The sequence below is a fragment of the Homo sapiens genome, chromosome 9 (assembly GCF_000001405.40).
Source record: "Homo sapiens chromosome 9, GRCh38.p14 Primary Assembly".
Taxonomy (NCBI): domain Eukaryota; kingdom Metazoa; phylum Chordata; class Mammalia; order Primates; family Hominidae; genus Homo; species Homo sapiens.
The window spans coordinates 7314048-7337233 of NC_000009.12; the positions used below are offsets into that span (position 1 = coordinate 7314048).

General features: G+C 41.4%; 1 long non-coding RNA gene across 2 annotated transcripts in view, besides 1 other annotated feature; it reads left to right on the plus strand.

Annotated features, from left to right (window-relative positions):
* Positions 1-23186, plus strand: part of LOC105375970 (uncharacterized) — a 42693-nt gene that overhangs the window by 9480 nt on the left and 10027 nt on the right. For both annotated transcript variants that reach the window (XR_007061414.1, XR_929460.3), the window contains exon 2: positions 13879-14085. This is a non-coding gene — a long non-coding RNA (uncharacterized LOC105375970). The remainder of the gene's footprint in view (positions 1-13878; positions 14086-23186) is intronic.
* Positions 5714-6913: an enhancer, noted in NCBI's record as "P300/CBP strongly-dependent group 1 enhancer chr9:7319761-7320960 (GRCh37/hg19 assembly coordinates)". NCBI's record gives its function as "activates an origin of replication core promoter dependent on BRD2, BRD4, P300/CBP, MED14 and CDK7 cofactors, with strong dependence on P300/CBP, by STARR-seq in HCT116 cells {active_cell/tissue: HCT116}" and the evidence as "EXISTENCE:reporter gene assay evidence [ECO:0000049][PMID:35650434]".

Below are 23186 nucleotides of genomic sequence, written 5' to 3' on the forward strand. Positions count from 1 at the left end.
ATGATTTTTTTGATTATAAATAATATTGGTGGTATTTCCTCAGTGGCTTAGGGTGTGGTTATTAGTAGAGGCTGTGATGAAGTTTTCCTGGGGACTGGGATGACAGGCGGGCCAGTCTTCAGGCTTCAGTGGTGGCAGCAGAGGGCTGAGCATGCCAGTTCTTGGGCCCCAGGGTGGCGTATGCTGGCAATGGTGTTAGTGGGTCCAGGTGGGCCAATCTTAGGCATCCAGTGGCTTGCTCAGCTGCCAGTAGTGGCAGCGGTAGGCTGGTCATGTGGGTGCATTATTGGGCCCCTGGATAATTGGCGTGGTGTGGGTGATGTCAGTAACAGTGACAAGATGATCCTCTGGGTCCCAAGAGGTGCATGCTGGTGTTGGTGGTGGCTTCAATGGGCTGAGCAGGATGGTCCCCAGGCTCCTGGGTGGTGCATGTGGGTGGGTGAGTATTGTCAGTGTCATTGGCAGCATATTGGGTGGGCCCATCTTCACCCTGGAGGGAGTACACAGATGCCAGAGGTGGTAGAATGTGTGGAGTGTTCTCCAGGTCCTCAGGCAGTATGCTTGGGTTCTAGGGTTGGGGGGTGCCAGGCCGGGCAGGTCTGACCTCAGGTTCCTGGTGGTCTACAGGGGTGTCCTCAGCACTGTGCAGAGAAGAGAAGGGACTCTGCCCTCTGCACACAAATCTGAGCACAGAGGCCACACTACCACCACTCGTAGCCTTATATAGGCAGCCCTCCAGCTTGCCCACCCTAGCCCCGAATGGTAGCAACGGCAGCTGCAGCTGCAGCAGTGTGTAGAGTGGGGAAAGGGCTCCTAGTCTTTTTGTACAAGTCTAAGCACAGAGTGCACTTTGCCAGTGGGGGCTAGGGACTCACCTGCCTGAGCTCCTTGTGGCAGTAACTGCCATGGCAGTGTGTGGAAGAGGGCAATGGAGTCTACTCTCCAATTATGAGCCCGAGCACAGAGTCCATGTTGCTGCTGGGAAAAGACTGCTTTTCACCGCCTGACAGGGAGCTCTTGGGGTCTGGAAAGCACATGCTGTGGTTTCCCTTGCCAAGGGGCTGCCTCCTTGGTTTGTTGCACTGTTCTTTCCCTAGAGAGTAGTACTTCTTGTGGGACCCTGCAGAACCTTTGGGTCCAGCCCGCACTGTGCTGTTGTAGCCTTCCAAGTGGACACTGGAAGATGTCAATCAGGGCTCTAGAAATGTGGAGATATGGGGTCTGTGGTTTCCAGGGAAGGATGCTGTCTGGTGACAGTTACGCTCTCCCAGTGGTGCTGTGCTGCAGCTGCTTGGGTCTTGGGGTTGTGAGTGATCCAGCCAGCACAAGTCATCTGTCTGCTAGAGGGCCCTTGGGCCTCTAGACTACCTGCCCGTGCTAGTGCCAGGGTTTGTGTGGATAGAGGAGCTCTCTCTTGGTCAGGATTGCAGCAGATTGTAGTGGGAATGTGACTGCTGAACATCTCTCTCTTACACTTTTTCCACAATAAGAGTTGCTCTGTGTCCCTACCAAGCTAGCCAAGCTAGCTGCTTACCTATTTCTCCTTCTGTGCCTCAGGTGTTTCCTGTGACTTCTCTGTTGAACTCCAGTGTTCACTCCTAGGTGTTCTATTTGAGGTGTGATTATCTATTCACAATTTTGGTTCTTTCTGGAGAGGGTGAGTGTTCAATGTCTGTAGTCAGCCATCTTGAAGCTAATCTATAATTTAACAAAATCTTCCCTTCTCTGCTAGTGCTCACTAATCTTTACATAGTCCCAATTTTGCTTTTTCCTCCTAAATTATCTCCTCAAGGCTTTGCCTTGCCCTGTTAGCCTCTGTGTTTGGGCAGCTGTCTCTATTCACTTGGTTTCAAATGTCATCTGTTAACAACTTCCAAATTTATGTATCAAGCTCTGCTCTTACTCAAGCAGGATTAGATGTTGCAATTCAGCCCTGGGTGAGATAAAGGGAGTGCAGCAAAGTATAGCTAATTCTTGCCGTTGCTTACCTGGGTTTGTTGGCGGCAGGTTGCTGAGATATGTGGAGGGAACAGGCCTAAGCTTTTTCTATGTTCGAATGCTCTCTGTGCCCTAAATATGCTTGATTTGGTCTGACCAAATGAAATAAGTTTGGGGTGGCAAAGAATTGGAATAGAGGGTAGGAAAAAATCAGTTCGGTGCAGTGAGTCACATGAGCCTGGGAATCAGAATGCTTAGATGCAAGTCCTGACTGTACCAGACACTCACTGTGTGCTCTTGCTCAAACTTGGTGAATAGCTCTCTGTCTCTGGTTCCTTATATGTAAAAGGGAATAAAAATAGAATCTTTTCCCTAGAGTCACCATGAGAACTAAATGAGATAATGCATGTAAAATGCTGAGGCCTGCACATAGTAAGGACTCACTAAATCTTCGCTATCTCAAGCCCTTTGGCTTGTTTTTCTCCCAAAATAGAGAAGAATGCCTTTTCCAAGAAGTCTATGACAGAAAGCAAAAGGCATTAATGTGGAAAGCTCTGTCTTTTGTGAAGCAAAATGCTAAGCCCAGGTCTGGGGCTTTGTGGCCGGGATTCATTTATTGCTCATTATGAATAGGTTGATGAGAAGTAGGTGGGTAAAAAATGAGGGAAAAGCTTTATGATGAAGTTTATCCTGTTTTCTGGGCCTGGCTCTAGGAAAGCTGATTAAATGAGGTTGGGGCTGAACAGGGCTGCCCTACTTAAGGCTTTTGTCAGCACTTTCTTTGTAAATTCTAATTTCCAGGACCTAGAAATGGCTGTGTTGAAAATATTCTCTGAGGACTTGAGGTTGGTGTGGAATATCTTTATCAGGCACCAAATAATCCTGTCAAGTTTCAAAAGAGGAACAGAGAGAGAAAGAAAAAAAATGTTGGAAAGAGAATGAAAAATGCAGACAGGGAAAGAGAAACAAAGGAAGCAGAGAGGTGGAAAGGTTAAAGGAAAAGAGAAAAAGAGAAAAAAATTATTTTTAGGGTATCTTAGAAACTCCCCTGAAAATGGCACCTCTATCTCAGGCTTTTCTCCTTGCCCAGGCCCTCTGCTCTTATAATTAACTAGAAAGAGCTCTGCCACAGAGCTTCCTGCTGTCTGTCTGTTCCTATGGCGAGGTCCCTGCTCCCACAGGCTGACATACTCTCAGCCGCCTGCCCTTCTTCCTGTCAGTGTGTTTACTCAGCTCCTTTTCCATCAAACACTATACCAACCCGATCTCTGACTTCTTTCAAATTTTAGGCCAATGTTGGTTCCGTAAAAGGATCTTTGATGCTCTTCTTGGAGGCTACTGAGTGGGCTCAGAACTAAAGATGAGGCTTGGGCCAGAAACTACAAAGGAAAGTGAGGCCACAGTTAGTTCTATCTGAATACCAACCCCAGTAATTCCAGATTGTTAGGTTCCCTTAGCATGAGGACTCCCAATCCCTGTGGCAGAGGCTGTGGTGATGACTTGAGAGGGTTCAAGGTTGGGTTTGCCATGTCAGGGCAGGCATGTACAAAAGAGTTGTGGGTGGCCATGCCTCCACCTCTAGGAAAGGTGGAGGTTCTTACCATGCACTAAAGGGAGTCACTGCTGTCTGGCTCCCCTGCTCTGAGAACTGTGGATACAACTGTTTGTAATATATAGGGCCATATTTGGGCGCTCCCTTATTGCTTTCAATTCTTGATCTATTCCCTCAACACTGGAAGTAATACCTGTGAAAAGGCAGCCTGAAGACTGAGTGCATGTGACTAATTTTCTCTCCCTTCTCAAACCCCATGAAAACAATTATAGAGGAATAAAATATATATAAACCCATAAGCATAGAGAGAAGAGCAAAGGAGACAACTGCTAATGAAAACTTTCTATATATTTTAGGAAGATGGAATGTGGAGAGGGTGGCTGACTGAACAAGGTAGGGACAGTAACAACCTGAGTGTCCTCAGATGGGGGGAGCTTCAGTCAGTGCTGCAGAACTCCAGAACGTCCCAGGACCTGGAGGGAGGGATGAAGTGCAGAGTTGAAACCAGGGGCATTGAGTCTGAGAGCAGAGTGCCTGCAGACTTCCCAGTACTCTTCTCCCCTCACCCAGCCAGGCCATCACCGCACTGGCCATGAGGTACAGAGAGGCAGGGTGTTAGCGATAAAACACAAAGCTGAAAATGGGAAAGATTTAATAAAAATATACACATTGAATAGAACACCATTACCCTCTCACCCCCGCCTGCCCTTTCTTACAGAGCTTGTAGAAATCTTATGTATAGGCATAAGAGTAGATCCAGCAGTGGATTGGATAATTCTTCTCTGGAAGAAATTGGGGTTATACCAAATAAAAGAGCCAGTTTTTAAGATGTTCACCCAGTATTAAGAATCACAAATTGACAAGTCTAATATACATACACAGTATATCCAATCAACTTTTAATAATTTGTTTCTAAATCTAAATGACCAAGCAAGAAATACAAGATATTTGAAGAACTCTTCCAGTATATAGTAAAGGAACCAAAACAAAAAACAGGATCTATCCACCCTCCAAGAAAAAGAGGCAATGCAGAGAGGAAAAAAAAAAGAAAATTTGCATAATCATATTTTAAGAGAGATGAGGAAAATATCACAGTCTGGGTTCTCAGCCTTTAAAGCTGGTATCAAGGGACTCATGCGCAATGTCAACTTATCAGAATCTTGGAAGGAAGAGTAGTGATTGATGAGCACCTGCCTCTAACCCCTAACCTTTGGCCCTCAGGCTTAGGTATGCTCTAGAAAGCCAGATCAAAATATTAGCTTTATTAATGGGGGCCCCTTAGTTGCCAAAGGCCAGGGTAAAGGCAGGTCAGAGAATGCAATGGGGACCTACTGCTAAGGTGGAATCTGGAGAAATGCTTCCACTTGTGGGTGAGCTGGCTCTGCTGAGCAGACTGATCTGTTCCTACAGTTGATGCAGGGAGAACCACTGCTCTCCTCCCAATGTCTGCTGCTGGCAGTGTCAAGAGCTGCAGGGAAGGTAGAAAGGCTGTGGAGGACTTTCATGCACCAGATAGTGAGCTTGCCACTTCTAGAAAACCAAGAAGGAACCCTGGAAATCCTTACTGCAGCATGCAGGGGGCAGTGTAGACAGAGGAAATGGAGATGATACCTCACTTTTGTTTCTTCCCCACACCAGTGTGTGGCTTGACGGATTGGGCTCTGCAATCGCTGGTAACTCTTTTGAGGGGAGGTATGAAAGAAGGGAGGAGAAAGAAACCATAAAGTTTTTTTTTGTCTCTTACTAACTTCCATAGACAGGGACATATAAACAGAATCTATGTAGATCTACAGAGGGTGGAATAAGTGCCCCTAAACAAGAACTGTGGGGTGTTATTCCTCTCTCATCAACATATAATTACATGTGAAGGAAATTCTATGACCAATCATTGATAGAAGAGGATGCTGGGAAGAGGATGCTGTGGACATTTTGACCCAAACAATCTGGGTGAGGAGGCTAACTCCTGGTCTCTTAACAGCAGGTGACATCATTTAGGGTAATGTCAGCATTAACAGAATAAATTACCAGAGGTAGGAATTAGTGTGAATTTTAGAGTCAGAAAAACCCATTTCAATTTAAGCTCTTCCAACGTTAATAGCTTTGCGACTATGAGGAGTTCTGTGATGTCTATGGGCCTTAGTTTCCCCACGTGTAAATTGTTACTTGGAATTATTGCAAAATTTAATGGGAATTCATTCACCCCATTTATTCGACAAGTGTTATTTAAGCGTTGGATTTTTTGGCACCTATCATGTGTCAGGTGCTATGCTATGGATGTAATTAAAGAACTTGGCACTATGCAGAAGTTAACAAATGGCAGTTTCTCCTTCAGAGTATTTTAGCTCTTTTAATATTCAATAGTCCTAGTCAGGGCCGCATGAATTCAGAGTCTCAGCATAGGGGAATAGGGTTGGCTCTTTGGAAAGCAGGAGAAAGTCACTGTAGATCGTCACTCACTCTCTGACTTGCATTAAGAATGTTCTGGCAATATTTCTATCCTTCAGACCTGTCTACGTTTATTTAATTGTTCTGAACTCTGAAGCCTTCTATCAAGCAACAACCATTTCTGCCCAGCTTGCCCAGTCCTGGCACCTCTAACCAGGGCGTATATCCATCTTGGAGACACCATTTACAGTGGCAAGAGGCCCTTCAGTGTCGTGGCCTTTGCACTGTGGACCACTGGAGTTGAGGTCACCTCTTTTCCTCAGAGCAGAAATGGTCTGATGAGGTGCTCTGAGTCATGGGTTCTGCAGCTGTCTGCTTAGGACTTGACAGAACGCAGCTGAGTAAGGATGACTCGCCACTTAACGGACATTAATTACTGCTCACAGCATCCCTGTAGGTCAGAGGACAGTAGGATTCTGACGTCAGATCTGACATGCTGTGGCTGGTGGTAGGCTGGCACTTAAATTCGATTAGGGTTGTGGTAGTTTAGCACAGCCAGAGGGACCCAGATGGAAAGTCTTGCCAAACTTCCAGGACATTCACAGTTACTTTTTTTTTCAGTGACATTTACATCATGAACTTTGGTCTTTGTTTCCCCCATCCCAACTTTGTACTCCATTCCCACTCCACACCAATTTAAACATGTACTGCTGAGAGGTGCAGAGTCTAGTTTCTGAGCTCTGCCTTCTTTGATGGAATTAAAACCAGTACTTCTAGAGAGTGTGGGTTTATCTGAAGTCTTCACTTACCAAATCCCTGTATTGTAGCTTTGTGATGCTACTAAGTGTAGAGCAGATTAAAAAGCAAGAATAATTAATAGCATTACAAATTGGAGAAGCAAATGGCAGTCTTCTTAATGCTAACCTCTGGTTCCTGCAATAAAGCGGAAATTTGTAGGAGCTCCTACGCAGTGCATCATTTTCAAACATCATCTCTGAAGCACTCGTTCGTTCCATTTTAGCCTACGTGGCATATGGAAGGTGTCAGCTGTGAATATTTATCGGGATTAAAATGCACTCTTAAGAGGTGAATGCTGAGGGGAAGCATCTTGTGATATTAATAGAGCACATATATGTCATCCAGAAGATGGCTGATGGGCTGGACCTCTCTCTCTACAGTAGCTGGGTAATGATTCCTTCCGGAGGTGGTGCAGAACAATGTGGATTGGAATAGCCCTGCATCATCTTCAGCTGTTTGGACTTTAGACAGTTGAATTCAAGTGCAGGTTGGGGAAAAGTTATCTGGCAGAGAAAATAAGAGGCAGGTTTTCCCTCTTGTTAAGTGAGGAGTTTAACATTGAGAAGAGAACCTTCAGTTTTGACATTGCCAGTAAGAAATGCATGGCCTCTCTCCATTTAGGTGGTAAACCCATCAAGATAAAAGAGCGCTTGTCTCAAAAAGAAGGCTGTAGAGGTGAACACATTCAAGTCAAAGGAAGGGTTTTCGTTTTTTACTTCATAAATGCATGAAGGTGGCATTTATGCGGGTGTCTTGGTCTTTTGAGTTTAAAACAGTTGAAAGGGCCACAATGTACACGCTTATCAACAGCTAAAGCATATTGAGTATTAATTCCTATTTAACTCACTGTTGTTCACTTTGGAGATTTTCCTTTAAAAATAGTCCAAAGTTTCAGAGCAAAAATCTTACTTTTTTACCTTTTTGTTAAGATATAATTTAATACTGTTAAACCTACCCTAGTGTACAGTTCTGTGAGTTTTGATAAACGTGTACAGTCATAGAAGTAACACCCAACCAAAATATACAACAGTCCCATCCTCACCCTCCAAATGTGTGTGTCCCTTTGTATTCAATTTCTCAGTCACTGAAAACCACTGATCTGTTTTCTGTGTCTGTGGTTTTGCCTTTTCCAGAATGTCCTATAAATGGAATCATATGTAGCCTTTTGGGTCTGGCTGCTTTCACTTAACATATTGCATTTGACATTCATCTATGTTGTTGTATGTATCAGCCATTTTGTTTCTTTTTTGCTGCTAAGTATTCTATAGATGCACTAAAGTTTGTTTATTCAATTCTTATTAGGGAGATGTTTGGATTGTTTCCAGTTTTTGGCAATTATATGTAAAGTCACCTCTGTACAGGTTTTCAAGTGACCATAGTTTTCATTTCACTTGGGTCAATAACAAGTAGGAGGCCAAGCTGTGTGGTAAGTACATGCTTCACCTTCTAAGAAACTGCTGCACTGTTTTCCAAAGTAAGTTTACATTTTTAAATTTTCACCAAAAATGGATGAGATTTTCAGTACTCCACATTCTTGACAGCACTTAATATTATCGATTTTAATTTAATCATTATTATAGATGTTTATTGGTATATCATCATTGTTTTAATATGCATTTCTGTAATGACTGTTGAGGTTGAGTGTCTTTGCGTTATTTGCCATTTGATGGAGTTTCTGTACATCTTTTACCCATTTGAAAGCAAATTGTTCATTTGATGGAAAAGTGGTGTTTTGTTTTGTTTTAATTTTTTTTGGTTAGGTTGATGTTGTCAACTGTTATCTATACTCTCCTCTACCCCACAAAGCCTTTAGCCACCTAAAAGATATTGAGATCAACATTTAGTGTGAATAGAGCCACATTTTCTGTAAGTCAGACAGCAGAAAACTATATATGGAGCATTTTTCTGAATGTCTTTGGAAATAAAAAATAACTACTTCCATTCCCCTTGGAGGAGCCTACCCCATCCAGTAACATGGGGTCATTAAGCGAAGTTCTTCTTTATAGGAGAAGAAAAACCATAGGCGCTTCTTTAAGAGGGTAACTTGTTTTTCCTAGAGCTCTAAGACACCAGAGGATTATAGAATTCTGGTTTTTAAAACAGCCTGAGGATTCCCTCAGGGCAAATATTGATTATTTGTAACTTGAAATTTTAAATCATGCTTCAAGTGTCACTTTAAAGTATAAGAAATCGATGTACCTGTAAAATTGACATAGTTACTTTAGATATGATACAAATAGAAGCCACAGCAACCTTCACTATTTACCAGATTGAAGAAAAAAATAAGTAAGACCTTGCAATATTTTACTGTTTTAGTGGAATATACTTGTAGTGAACTTCTGTTAGGAATTTTTTTTTGCAGCTCCCGGTGTTTCCTTTCTTGAGGACCACCTTTCTTTTCCATGCCATTTTGCATCTTCCACTGGGATGGGCCCTCAGCAGCCATGTTTGTAGTACCTCATCCCACCCCTTGGCCAGAGGTGATGTGACGAGAGGTAGGCACCTGATTCATTCTGGGCCAATGAGATGCCCTTGACTGATGCCGAATCTGACATGATGCAAATTTGGGAGTCATATTTCTTGCCATGTAGACATGGAATTAGAGAAACTGAGTCTACAGAAAGAACAAGCAAATAAATAAATAAAAATAAGGCTGATTCTTGGAAAGACCAAGATGACAGACGCAGAAAGGCCACTACCTAGTTAAACTCACTTTCCTAGATGGCCCAGGCCTCAGTTTCTGCCCCTTTACTATACTTTTCTATGCTTGAAAACCATGAGAAGTTCAATGTGCTTCCATTTAATTCTCCCTTAGATTAAAGGCAGATTAAGTTGGTTTATAATATTACAATAAGAGAGTCTCAGGCTGGGTGTGGTGGCTCATGCCTGTAATCCCAGTACTTTGGGAGGCTGAGATAGGAGGATCACTTGAGCCCAGGAGTTCAAGATCAGCCTGGCTAACATAATGGGACCTTGTCGCTACAAAAAGTAAAAAAATTAGCCAGGTATGGTGGCACACGCCTGTAGTCTCAACTACTCAGGAGGCTGAGGTGGGAGGATCGCTGGACCCCATGACTTCAAGGCTGTAGAGAGCCATGATTGCACCACTGTACTCCAGCCCAAGTGACAGAGCAAGACCCTGTCTCAAAAAAAAAAAAAAAAAAAGAAAAGAGAGAGAGAGAGAAAGTCTCAACTGAGATAGCATTGGATGATCTTGGTTAGGAAACCCATCTGAGTTGGCATCCTGAAAGAATTCCAAGTGGCAGTTGTTGTAAATATTGAGCTTTATAATGCCAGGTGAATAACTGGAATTGAGGGTGGAGACAGTCAATCTGAAGATAGGTTTCAAGGAAGAAATGGAATTACTTCTTTGTTTTGAGCTCTAGTCAGATTCCTAGAGTCTTAGATTGGGAATGAATCTTAGAGGTTATATAGTTCATTTTGTTGAACTTTTCACACAGGGTGGAAGGCTTCTCTCTTAAATTCAGACAGTTAGCCCATCTGGCCTCTGATTATGTCAGCTGGTTTAATTCAGGCTCTACACAGGCCTAGGAAGACAAATGTTATTTTCTGTTTTAAATTTCACATTTTTCCCCACACATCTTCTTCCAAATATTTCAAGACAGTTGTTGCTCTTGGGATTCCTCCTTCTCATTCACTTTTGGGGCCATCCATAGTTAACGAAGATATTTTTGCCAGCAGCATTCCAATTTGGATTCAGAAATACTAATAAAATTTGCTTTTGGTTTCCTGTTGTCTGTTGATGAGTCATGCTCACAAACTGCCTCACTTCATATCTTTTTCAGTGCATTGTAGTCCACTGAGTGTTTGGGGCAAGGACATTTTCGACAATACCGAAAGACTTACCTCACACAGGTGCTGCTTGCATCAAAAGAGTCAGCCCTGCTAGCTGGGAGCCCACAAAGATTTTTGGTGGAGAGAAGAAAAAGTAGCATCTAGGTACCTGTACCTAATAGGTGATCAACCTATTGGGTGAAATGAGTGAATTACTTGTGATCAAGTCATAGCTGTTTTATGTAGAAAGGGTTTGTTTGTACCATTTTCCCAAACTAGAAAGAAAGTAGCCTGGAAGTTTGTAATTGTATTTCCCTCCCCTCACTTCAGAACAACAGCAAATGTACTGTCTACAAGAGAGGTGCCATTTTGCAGCTAGTTTTTAAGTGTCACAGACCAGCTGGAATTGGAAGTTCTTGGAACTTTAGAGGTGTTGGGCTGTGTCAGACTGATAAATTATGTAAAACCTCTTTCCCTGAGTATTATTAATCATCCTCAAGCAAATGAAGACGTGCTAATTAATTTGTGGTGGTTTTCACCTGCAAATGCCAAAGGAACTAAACCAAATTAAATCTTCTATTCTCTTTAAGACCAGCACCCTGTTAAATACCCTATGACTTATCTAATTCCATTTGAAAGATGTGATTCTTTGCAGACTTAGTTTACCTGTGGTTTCAAAATCTTAAAGACTTTTTCTTGAATGTGTACCCCAAGGTTTTGCACTTAGGGACTTGGAAAATGAATGGAGGGAATTCATTGCTATGGTTTATAGAGGACCCAGCATATACAAGATTCTGTATTAGATAGTTTACCTATGCTCTCTCATGGGTAGGTATTACCAAAGCCTATAGGAAGTAGGAATTATCATTCTAGTTGTATTAAGAAGGAAACAGTCTCAGAGACTTTATATAAATTTCCCAGGCCACAAAGTTTATTAATATGGAGCTAAGATGCAAATCCAGGGCTGTCCAACCTCACAGTTCATGCTCTTTCCAGTATACCATGCTCCCCCCAAGGAGACAATCTATTGTGTGTGTGAAATCTCACCAGCCAGACACCAAAGCACCATGCATTGTAGGCTTTGCATGGTATTTTAAGAATTAGGATTCCTCATTTAATTTCCTCCATTGGAGAAAAGTCTCAAAGAAAATAATTTTAGAGTCTTCTAATGATTTTCACAAGAACAGCATCATGCATGATACTACTTCATTCTCACCCTCAACTACATGTGTACTTGGCTATTTCTGAGCCAGGTCATTTATCTTTGGTAACAATTAAAATATTATCGCTCAGATGAGAGATGTCTTTCCACTCATGGCTATGGATCTTCCTTGTGAGCCATGTTTAATGTGCCTCTGAAAGCAAGTGGTCTCTGAACATCCAAGAAGGACTCTGGGGAGACTGAGAGAAAGTAGTAGACTCCCATTGGCCACAGATGGTTTGCAAAATATGGAGCCGGGCATCTTACATCCCTGTCTAGATCAATGTTCCAGAGTCTCTTCCTTATCACTGTGACTGTAAAAATTAAATTGAAGGCTCACTTGTGGGAAGTTCATTGCCATTACTAGCATTTTTCTTGGCAATTACTTGGTATACCCACAGAGGTAAGAATGCTGGCGAAAGTTCCACAAGACTGTTTAGATGTCAGAGTGGAGTCCTCTAATGTATTTCCTGACAGCAAGCCCCATCCAGATGAATGTGCTTGGCCAACATCCAGAGCTGGGCACACTCCAGGGAAGAACCTATGAAGTAGGATTCTGGCCAAGGTGTCTTGGGTCTTTTTGTGGGGGTTTGGAGCTTCCTTTTCTTCATTCATGTTTGGCTTGTTACCAGCCCTCTTTCAAGGACTCAAAGGCACTGAACTGTTAGAGGAGGAAACCCTATGGAACAGTTTGCTGAAGACAAAGATTATGTAAACGGATGTGCATTCGGCCCTCTTTTAGGAAAATGTATAATTATCTTCACTGTTACTTCTTTTGTGTATTTCATTCTCTCCCAGTTATAGAAATACTTGTGGTCTCAATAAAGATTTCAGATTTGGGCATCTCTCTTCTTCACCATTTCAAGTAACAGACATCCCTGTTTTGTCAAAGAGCTAGTGAGATGTACAAGAGCATGTACTTCTGAATATTGTGTCTGTCACTAACTGTCACGTAGGGCAAGTCACATTCTCTCTAAGCCACATTTTCCTTTCTCACCTGTCAAATGGGATGATCATGCCTGCCTCACAAGGCTGTCCTGAATGAAAATTCAATGTGAATGGAATTAGCACAGAGTCTGGCTTATGGAAGATGCTCAAAAACATTTGATTGCTAAAATGAAGACCATTGCATTTTATTTTTGAAAGTCCCCAGAGCCCTCCCTTATCACACACAACATGCTACACATGCACAATATTTCTGTGTTTTTTTTCCAGGCAAACATTTCCATATTATGTGTTATTGCTTGCAAGTTGCAGTCAGCATTAAGTCAAATTTTCCTCACATTTCTTTTCCTGCCCTGTCCTCCTCCATAGTATAGAACAAGAGAAATGTGAATTAGAATTGCATTGTGTATTGCTAATTCTTCCCTGACTCCTAGTAGAACCTCCTTTCACATGTGCACACACAGACACACACCCTTTCCATTTTGTTACCCTCCGTCTTCCTTTTCAGATGTCCTCAGTGTACATGTTTTCCATTGTTAGACATGCTTCTTCTGGAATCAGAAATAGTAAAAGTGTCCACTTGGATACAGCACAGTAATGTGCATGTTGGGTGGCATTGGCAAACCCTTATGCAAAATGAGAAAAATGCTCCCACCTTTATAGGGAGGTCAAATGAGAAAATGGGAGAGCTGTTGTGGGAGGAGCTGCTTTCCTCAGGAAGAAAGAAGGGAGAATAGGTGGCAATGGGTGAGTCTTTATTTTCCTTGAGACTGAATTGAGGATGTCAACTGTCTTAGAAAGAAAATCGAAGCAAATCCCTTTGTTCCATTGCCCTTCATAGGGAAAACATACTAAATTGGTCCTCTCTTTGCTAGGCTCTTCCAAAGGTTTATATCCTTGCTGAAATAATCTCTTTGGGAATCACTTCTAAATTTCATGACCTTGTTCACTCTTTCTTATTAGCCATTCTTACATCAGTTCTACCCTCTCCTAGTGCTAAAGCATCTGGTAAAGCCAACTAAATTTCTTGTGGATTAGTGTGGTGCTTACCCAACAACATGGGTGTGGTAGACAGCCTCCAGGATGGCCCCAAAGACCCCAGCCTCATGATATGCACACACTTGAGTAGTTCTCCTCCACAGTGTGCTGTGGTTTGTGTAACCAACAGAATATGGGAGAAGTGATGGTATGTCATTTTTAAGATTACAAAAAGATGCTGCATCTTCTATTTTGACCACATCTCTCTTGGATCACTTGCTTTAAGGGAAGCCTGCTGCCATGTCTTGAGGACCCTCCAACAGCTCTGTGGAGAAGCCCACATGGTGAGAAACTGAGGCCTTCATGCAACAGCCATGTGAAAAAGTCTTCATGGAAGTGGGTCTTCCAGCCCAATCAGATCTTCAGATGACTGCAGCCCCAGCTGACAGTTTCACAGGAAACTAATGAGAGACCCTGAACCAGAGCCACCTGGGTAAGTCAATTCCAGATTCCTGACTCTCAGAAACAGTGGGAAAGTAAGTGTTTATTGTTTGAAATCCTGTCAAAAACTGAGAAGGATCTGAGATTTTACCCTCCTTGCACACTAACAAATTTTTGTTTTCTACTCAAGACAGTTTTATGAATATCAGTAGAAGTCATGACTCCTGAGTCAGAGAAAAAAGACTTGTATTATTTACAGCACAGCAGTCAGCATGAGCTCATGTTTACATTGGTTTCTCTTGCCCCTAAACCCTAAACCCTAAAAGGGTGATGTGAGGGTGGGCACAGGTGGATGCTATACACACAGTGGGTTTGCCTCACAACTGAAGACCCTCATCTTAGGAAATCCCAATCTTCTATAAAAGTACTTCAAGAAAATCTGCTCAAACATTGTCCTGGCAGGAGACATTAACTTTATGATACTGGATGGCAAACAAATCTGGCCTCTGTCCCAAAGGGATACACTATCTCTATCTTCCAACATTGTTTGCTGTGTAAATATTCTGGAAAAGAGTCTGGGCCAAAAGCTGTCAGTGTCTCTGCTCACAACACACACAAGGCATTGAATGGAGACTTGTCTGCTGGCAGCCACTGAGTTTCAGAATGATTTTCTGTGCAGCAATAGATAAGTAATCCAATGGGAGGCCTGTATCTAGGCCTCACCTGTCAAAGTCACTGTACTGAGGGCATGTGTAGTAGAGTTGTATCTATTGACAGAGAGTGAGTGCAAGGGTTTTAGACTTAAGAAATAAGTGAAGGGACAAGTAGGTCCTCTGGTTTTAGAAGATGATAAAGAGGGAGAAAAGGAAAAAGCAACAGAGGGAAGGAGCCAAAAGGTGGAATTTACTAGAAATGACAAGTGTAGCTTTCTCTCGTAGCAAATATTTTTACCTAGAGAATAGATTTGTAAAATGAAAGAATTCACTACTTAGTATCTTGCTGTGTTTAAAAGCCTCTTCTCATCTTCACTAGCAAGTTGTCCTATGACAGGGTGGGGGTGTTGCTAGTGGATATTTTTCACATTTTTTGGTCCCTAGTGAAGGAAAATGAGGTGCAGTTAATTTTGAGCCAATCCGTAGAGAACCCAACTTGATAATTCTATTTAAAAGGCACATCAAATAAAGCACTTAAAAGATGATTTTTGTTTACATGCTTTATTCTGTGAAAATGAGGAATCAAAGACCTCTTGGGTTTTCTGCTGTCAGAAAAATATCTTCTATTCTCGTCGTGAAATCAATTGAGGGGGTAAAGAATTAAGAATGATTTTCATTTGAAATGATACTTGGTCTTATGTTTCATTTGATTTTAGAAATATTTGAACAGCCTTCCCTTAATGAAGTCATTTTTAGACACCCAGAACGAGTATAATTGACAGTTAAAAAGTAAAACCAAAAGTGTGAATGAGCTTCCATCAGCCCATAAGAAAAAGAGGACCTAAGATGCTTGATAGACGACATTACTTCAGGTTTCACTCATCTGGCATCTGTTGATAGGACAGGGCTCAGGGATACTTTATTAGTTTTCCAGTATGTAATGCCATAGCTGGTTATTGACATTTGCAGGAGCATCTCTCAGTAACAGCACCCAGGGCAAGCTATAGCCTTGATTATAGCTTGGGGAATTTAAAAGCAGGTTAAATGTGAGCGCTCTAATTTCTCTCCTAATTTCTTAAATGGGAATACTTATCTCAATGTTATTGTGAGGTTTAAATGTGCTAAAGTAGATAAAGAGTGTAGCAATGTGCATGGCGTATAATAAATGCTCAATAAGTGAAAACTTTTATTATTATTTTTATTTTTATTATTTTGAGACAGGGTCTTGCTCTATCACCCAGGCTGCAGTGCAGTGACACCACCATAGTTCACTGCACAAGGCTTGTATTGTTAATCCTCAAAGATATTAGGCATGCTCTTTCTTGGGCTACATTATGTCATTTCAAATGCAGTAGAGTTCCATTAGATGACATCTGGCTCTATCATGTTCTATTTTATTGTATTACAGGTCAATTTGTAGTTCTTATTTATACTATGTTAGCTATGTGCCTCTCTTTCCTGATGTATGGAAAAGTCTCTGAATAAATGCTGGCTCTTGGTCTTGTCATTTGATATAGCAAAATAATAAATACCACCCAATGACCAAACTTAGCAAAGCCTGGTTATTTTCAAAGCATATTGATTTCAACTTTTTCTTAAGCAGAAAGGCTGTTTATGGAAAATTTCCCTAGAGGTGGAATTCCTAACAGGTTCAAACTATTTTTTGTTTAAAAACCAGGAACCTGGTCCAAAAGGAGGCCAGGACTATGAGTTGTCCTGCAGGTGTGAGTAGAGATGTTGTGCCCACACTTTTTGCCCTTCTGGAAGGATCTTTTTATGGGGCCCCTGGTGGTGTAGTCAGTGGGCATTATCACATGTAGCATTCCCAGGGGTTGTCACCGACTGGAGAAAATCACCTTGCAGTTCAGACAACAAAAAGGTCTTTCCTATCCAAGGGGCCTCACAGTATGCTTGAGAAGGGACTGAGGTTATGGCAGATGCTTCCAGAGCCCAGCCACATCTGCTGGGCACCCACCATTCCTGTGCCTGCCTATCCTATGGCTTCTATCTGCAAGGACCTGTGACTCTTTGCTTAGAGTTTCCTCTGGCTGTGGAAGATCTCTCAGCCCAAGGGCAGGACAGGTTGGAAGTAAGGCTAAGTACAGAGGAAGTATAGCCCTTGGGACCGAGGGACTTGATGGGTAAACACCAAGCCCCCTTGCTCTCCAGGTGGGAAAAATCCAAGGTGTGTTCTACACTGCTTTCCTGTATTCCCTCAGATGATTGAGCCCCCATTTGCCCATAGTGGTATCATGCTTCATAATATTCTCTTGACTGGCTTCTTTCCCTTTCCTCTCTTAGTTCTCTACTTCCTTAATGGTGCTTCTTGGGATATCTCCCAAACAAACTACTGCAACTCGTATCCTTGTTTCAGAGTCTGCTTTGGAGGAAGCCAATCTACAACAAAGGATATGCTCCCATTGCCTCCCTTATCCCATCAGCTCTGCAGGTTCCTCAGATTCCCTCCTCTGTGTACCTGTCTCCTGTTCTTCATAGGAACGAGGGAAAGAAAGAGGGACTTGACATTCTGACTAACACTATATGGGTGATTTTAAATCCTTCATCTCATTTCAATACTACGATGTAGTATTTCCATTTTACAAATGAGAAAACTGAGACCGGAGGACTAAATATCTAGATTGAGGTAATGCAGCGTCTAGATGGAAGAGATAGGTCTTGATTTCAGGTTTTCTGACTTTGTTCTAAAATATTCTCATTCTAGTTTATCTCTGAAGGCGTGAACAGATCAGAGGAGGAATAAAGTTTATCTCCTTATTGTGCTATAAATTTTTAAAAGGCACATCAATCACATCATATTACTCCAAAGGTTTCATATAACAAGTAGAATAAGATTCCAGCTCTATCCTATGGCCTGCTCTGCCCTACATGATCTGTCTCCTGCTTAAATCTTTGATCTCACCTTCTAGCCCTTCCCCTTCTCTCACTCTGTTCTGTGCATACACCAAGCTTATTCCACTTCATGGTCAGCCTTTGTCCTTGCTGTTCCCCTGCATGGAATGCTCTTCTTCAGATCCTTTGCAGGCTACCTCCTTGTCATCATTCCAGTCTCAGTGCAAATGTGACTTCCTCAGAGGAAGTCCCTGAACATTCTAACTAAACTATCTGTCTTTGCTCCTCTCTCCCTGCCTGGCCCCAGGCATTTCTCATCCAGGTGTTCTTTTTTATTATTATTATTATATTCAATGCGCTTATTTGTTTCTGGTTTGTTCTCTCACCCCAGCCTCATATAAGCTGATTGAAGGCAGGGACTTTGCTTGTTTCATTCATTACTCTTTTCCCAGGGCCTAGAATAGTGCCTGGTGCATAGTTTTTGTCAAATGTATACCTGTATAAATGAAAGTGAGGCAGTAGAGAAGAAAAATTGTAGGCATGTATCTGATAGGACCTTAAAACATATTTGGTGTATAACTAAGATTTATTTACCCAACTCTTTGTAATCAGCAGAATTAATATAACTTGAAAGCAAATGCATCTTGCTGACATTTTGGAATCTATGTGCATGCATTAATACCAATCAAATTAAGTGTGTGTTTCACAGCCTGCCATTTGGATGAGAGATGCTGGAAAGGGAGAAGGTGGACAGCTTCTTAGCCTCTTTTTTTTCTGGCATTTTTAACGACATTCTGGTAAACTGGGCTCCGGGTTTGATTAAAGATTGTTTGGGGTATGGAGAAAGAGTATGGAGACAATCTTAACAATCATTTACATTTTGGACTTCACTCAAAAAACAAAAATGTCATTGTTAAAAGGCTTACAGCTTAAGTCCTCTGAAATCTAGTTTTGGCTTTTTTATCTCTTTTATTTTGATATTTGTATTTTTGTCCAATGGTTTTTTTTTAGGGGAAGTGAGAGATAGAAAGGGACATGCCTGTGCTGCCATATTTGTTTTAATAAAATTCCCTGATTTTCCTCATTACAAAAGTTACCTATATTCCTTAGAACATTTGGAAAGTAAAACAAAGAAGATAATAAAAATTATTGTGTCTATTTCTTAACAACTGCTAATATTTTATGCATTTCATTCCAGTTGTTTTTCTATGATTATGAATATCTACATGTGGTATAGTTCTTCAATTCTAAGGTACTATCTGTTATAAAATGGGATATTGGTTTATTTATCACTTTCCCTCCCCTCCCCTCTCCTCCCCTCCTTGTCCTTTCCTTTCCTTTCCTTTCCTTTCCTTTCCTTTCCTTTCCTTTCCTTTCCTTTCCTTTCCTTTCCTTTCCTTTCCTTTCCTTTCCTTTCCTTTCCTTTCTTTCCTCTCTCTCTCTTTCACAGGATCTCACTTTCACCCAGGCTGGAGTGGAGTGGTGCAATCCTGGCTCACTGCTGCCTTGACTTCCTGGGATCAAGTAATCCTCCTGCCTCAGTCCCCTAAGTAGCTGGGACTTCAGGCATGCACTACTATGCCCAGCTAATTTTTATATTTTTTGTAGAGATGGGGTTTTGCCATGTTGCCCAGGCTGTTCTCGAACTCATGGAGTCAAGCGATCTGCCTCGGCCTCCCAAAATTCTGGGATTACATGCATGAGCCACTGTGCCTAGCCTATTTATTACATTTCAAGAAAAACAAAGTTAAAAGTATATTTCTTTTTTTCCTAAAAAAATGGCATTTGTGTACCATTTTCTTTGCATAACACTTGAGAATGAGTTTCCTTCTCATCATGAGTTTAAAGTTTCTTCTGAATCACTTTGGGCCAGTCTTAATTCTGCATATCATCTCTGTTTTGTGCTGCTCCTATAATGTGTGCTTCAAATCTTGATCTCTTTGACATCTGTATCTATATAGCCTAATGTCAAAGTATAGTAAACAATGCAGTTGACCCTTGAACAACACAAGTTTGAACTGCATGGGGCAACTTATATGTGGATTTTTTTCAGTACAAATTACACCAAGAGTGCCTGCCTCTCCTGCCTCCCCTTCCACCTCCTTTACGTCTTCTACCTCTGCCACCCCGAGACAGTAACCCCCACATTGTTCAAGAGTCAACTGTAATGGGATTTTATCCACATTCCCTATTTTGTTAAACTCATAATTTTTTCTTCTATTGAATTACACATCACAGGCCTCTCTTCAAATTTAGCCAGAAGCTTTTACTCATGGATTTTCAGTGCCTAAATAATAGTCCTTCATAATGCATGAATCAGTCACATCAAACTCTCCAAGCTTTTAAGATTTCATGATATATTTGGAGAGACTGGGCACCGTTCCCATATGCATTGCAAGAAATGATAAGTATGTCACAACTTAATCTATTTGGCAGCTTGCAAGTTCTTTTTGATATAAATTATTAAATGCATCCTAATTTTAAAAAAATCAAGAGGTAAAAAAATGCATCATAGAATCAAAGATATATGGTATATGTGTAACAATGCAAATGCTTTTTATTTCAGCATTTTTTTTTCAACTCTGCATGCTTTTCATCCTGCACGCTAGAGTTGCATGGATGTCAAAGATAAATCTGTAACAAAGCCACACCCTCAGACCTTCTGAAGGGGCCTAGGAACTAATATTTATATAAAAAATAAGACCAAAAAACTTCTCAAATTCCAATGAGCAGGCTGATTTGAGGACCACCATTTTAATAATTGGTATACTAGATTACGCTTACAGTGGGAATTGACTTTGGGAAATACCTAGTTCAGCAGCCTAGGATAGAAGGCAGGATTTAGAGAGAACTGTTGTCCAGGAATCTCAGCTACAAAAGGGAATGTCTAGTGGCTTTGCATAGGAAAATGAGAGAATTTATTTTATTGCTCTAATGGAGGAGAGGTAGAGAAGAAAGAGAGGATGAGGAAAGATGTGCTCATGAAATATGAAACCGAGTGACTTAATGTGCAAATGGGCCACGGGAAGTTTTCCTGTGGTGAGGTAGCTAACATAATTTTTGAAAATGATAATGTTCAGTTTGTAATGATTTGCACATTGTCGTATGAAGTTTTCCTGCATCTTTCTTCCAAATGCTTGATTCTATTATACTCCTGAATTCTTTATGTAATTATTTTCTTGGTAGAAATTGAATAGTGAGGTTTGGGCTAAGAAATAAAAACCTAAAGAAATTGAGGAGGGAGCTGAGCTAACACTCTAAAATCTGAAATGATGCAGGACCAAAAAGAGGATTGTGGAGCTGAGATGACCGTGAATATATCATCCCTCAGGAAATCTTAGAAAGAGGTTTGCTTTGTCATAAGGCATGGAATTAGTAGCTTAAGCAAATTTAGTTCAACATGTAAATCCAGGGAATCTTCACTTGACATGCCATTCAACACACAAAAACATACTCCTATATTTTTGTATTCATATTTTAAAATAAATTGGGATCATACTTTGTATCCAGTTTTGTATACTAATTCCTTCACTTAGTATAATGCCACGAACATTTCCCTATATCGTTAATTATTCTTAGAGACTGATATGGTTTGGCTGTGTCCCCAGTCAAATCTCATCTTGAATTGTAGCTCCCATAATTCCCATGTGTTGTGGGAGGGAGCTCATGGGAGATAATTGAATCATGGGGGCAGTTTCCTACATGCTGTTCTCTTGGTGGGGAATAAGTCTCATGAGATCTGATGGCTTTTTAAGGGGTTTACCCCCTTTACTTAATCCTCAATTCTCTCTTACCCCCACCATGTAAGATGTGCCTTTTGTTTTCTACCATGATTTTGACGCCTCCCCAGCTACATGGAACTGTGAGTTCATTAAACCTCTTTTTCTTTATAAATTACTAAGTCCCGGTTATGTCTTTATCAGTAGCATGAAAACAGACTAATACAGAGCATGAATTTTAATAATTGTCTATTTATTAAATAGATCATACTATGATCTATTTAAACATTATCTCATGGGATAGAGTAGGATACTGCCAGTGTTCAGAATTTGAAGTCAGATGCTCTGCCTTCACTGCCCCAGCTGTGTTGCTTAGGCAGGCATTCCCACATCATCACCTTGAAGCTGACACAACGTTATCCTTTACAAAAGGATTTGCAGTTTCAATGGCTAAGAGATTGCTCTGAATTGTTTTAAATTTATGTCTCTTTGATTAGTGAGTTTGAACTCCACTTTACCTGCTATTAGCATTTTACCAATTCATTCTTCTGAAATCAGCTTTCCAGGATTGGAATGTTAATTTATTTGAATGGATATGTATCCATGTGGCTGTGCTGAAAAAAGAAGGTTATCGATCAGGGTAGAGCAAGCAGATCTGCCTCAAGGAAGTGATGTTTCATTTGCATAATCATGTAAATTACATACCTACTTCTTTGAGAGCAAATATCCCAAATTTACCTGCCAAGTGGGATCAGACTCATCTAAAGATATCCAGATGAGGCTTGGTGCGGTCGCTCATGCCTGTAATCCCAGCACTTTGGGAGGCTGGGATGCGCAGATCACGAGGTCAGGAGATCGAGACCATCCTGGCTAACACGGTGAAACCCCGTCTCTACTAAAAATACAAAAAATTAGCCGGGTGTGTTGGCAGGCGCCTGTAGTCCCAGCTACTTGGGAGGCTGAGGCAGGAGAATGGCGTGAACCTGGGAGGCGGAGCCTGCAGTGAGCTGAGATCGCGCCACTGCACTCCAGCCTGGGGGACAGAGTGAGACTCCGTCTCAAAAAAAAAAAAATATATATATATATATCCAGATGAATAAGGCAGAGAAATACTTATGAGAAAAAAAAAACAGAAGTCCAATGAGCTCCCAGTTGCTAGGAAGTTCTTATTAGGGTGGGATTTAGAATAACTGAGCATCATCATCTTCACAGTAGTGAAGAGAAAGGCACAGGAGGCCCTGGATACAAAAACCTGCCAGACAATCTGGCCATGTTTAATGGGTCATGCATGGAAACCATGGAAAACAGCCTAAGCTCAGTTCTAAAAGCCACTTGTCAGCAGACCATTTCATTCACAAAACTGACATAACAATTATAATTAACTTTTCAGTTGGAGGAATATATTGAAGAGATGGTACTCCTTGCTTTCATTCTCTAAAGGAAGCAAGATGATGTTTTCTAAGGGCTTTGAAAGGCAAGTGTCCCTCCTGACAGCTGCCACAAGATAACAAGGAAGAGAACAGACATTAAGCAACTTGTTTATCTTCAGAATCCTGAGGAAGTCACAGGTCTCTGTAGGGATTGGGTATTGGTTGACGTCATGATGTTTTCTGAGAACTACAGTAGAGCAGCTGGGGCCAGGAGGTGTAATAACTCCTGAGCCCAAGCTCTTTTTATTGGTACTGCCCTTATGTCAGTGAAACAAAGAAGGTGAATAAAGCAATTTCTAACTCTTCTAAAGTTAAACCAAGAGTTCACCCAGTGTATTTTCCCTGGGGTTGACGAACTACCACCTGTGTCCTGAGAGCAAAGATTTTTTTTTCTTTTTTACATTTTTAAGTGTAAAATGTAAAGGACTGTTAGCCTTTTGTAAGAACAGCTGCTTCATTTTGCCTTTTGGCTGCAAAGCCTAGAATATTTACTCTCTCGTC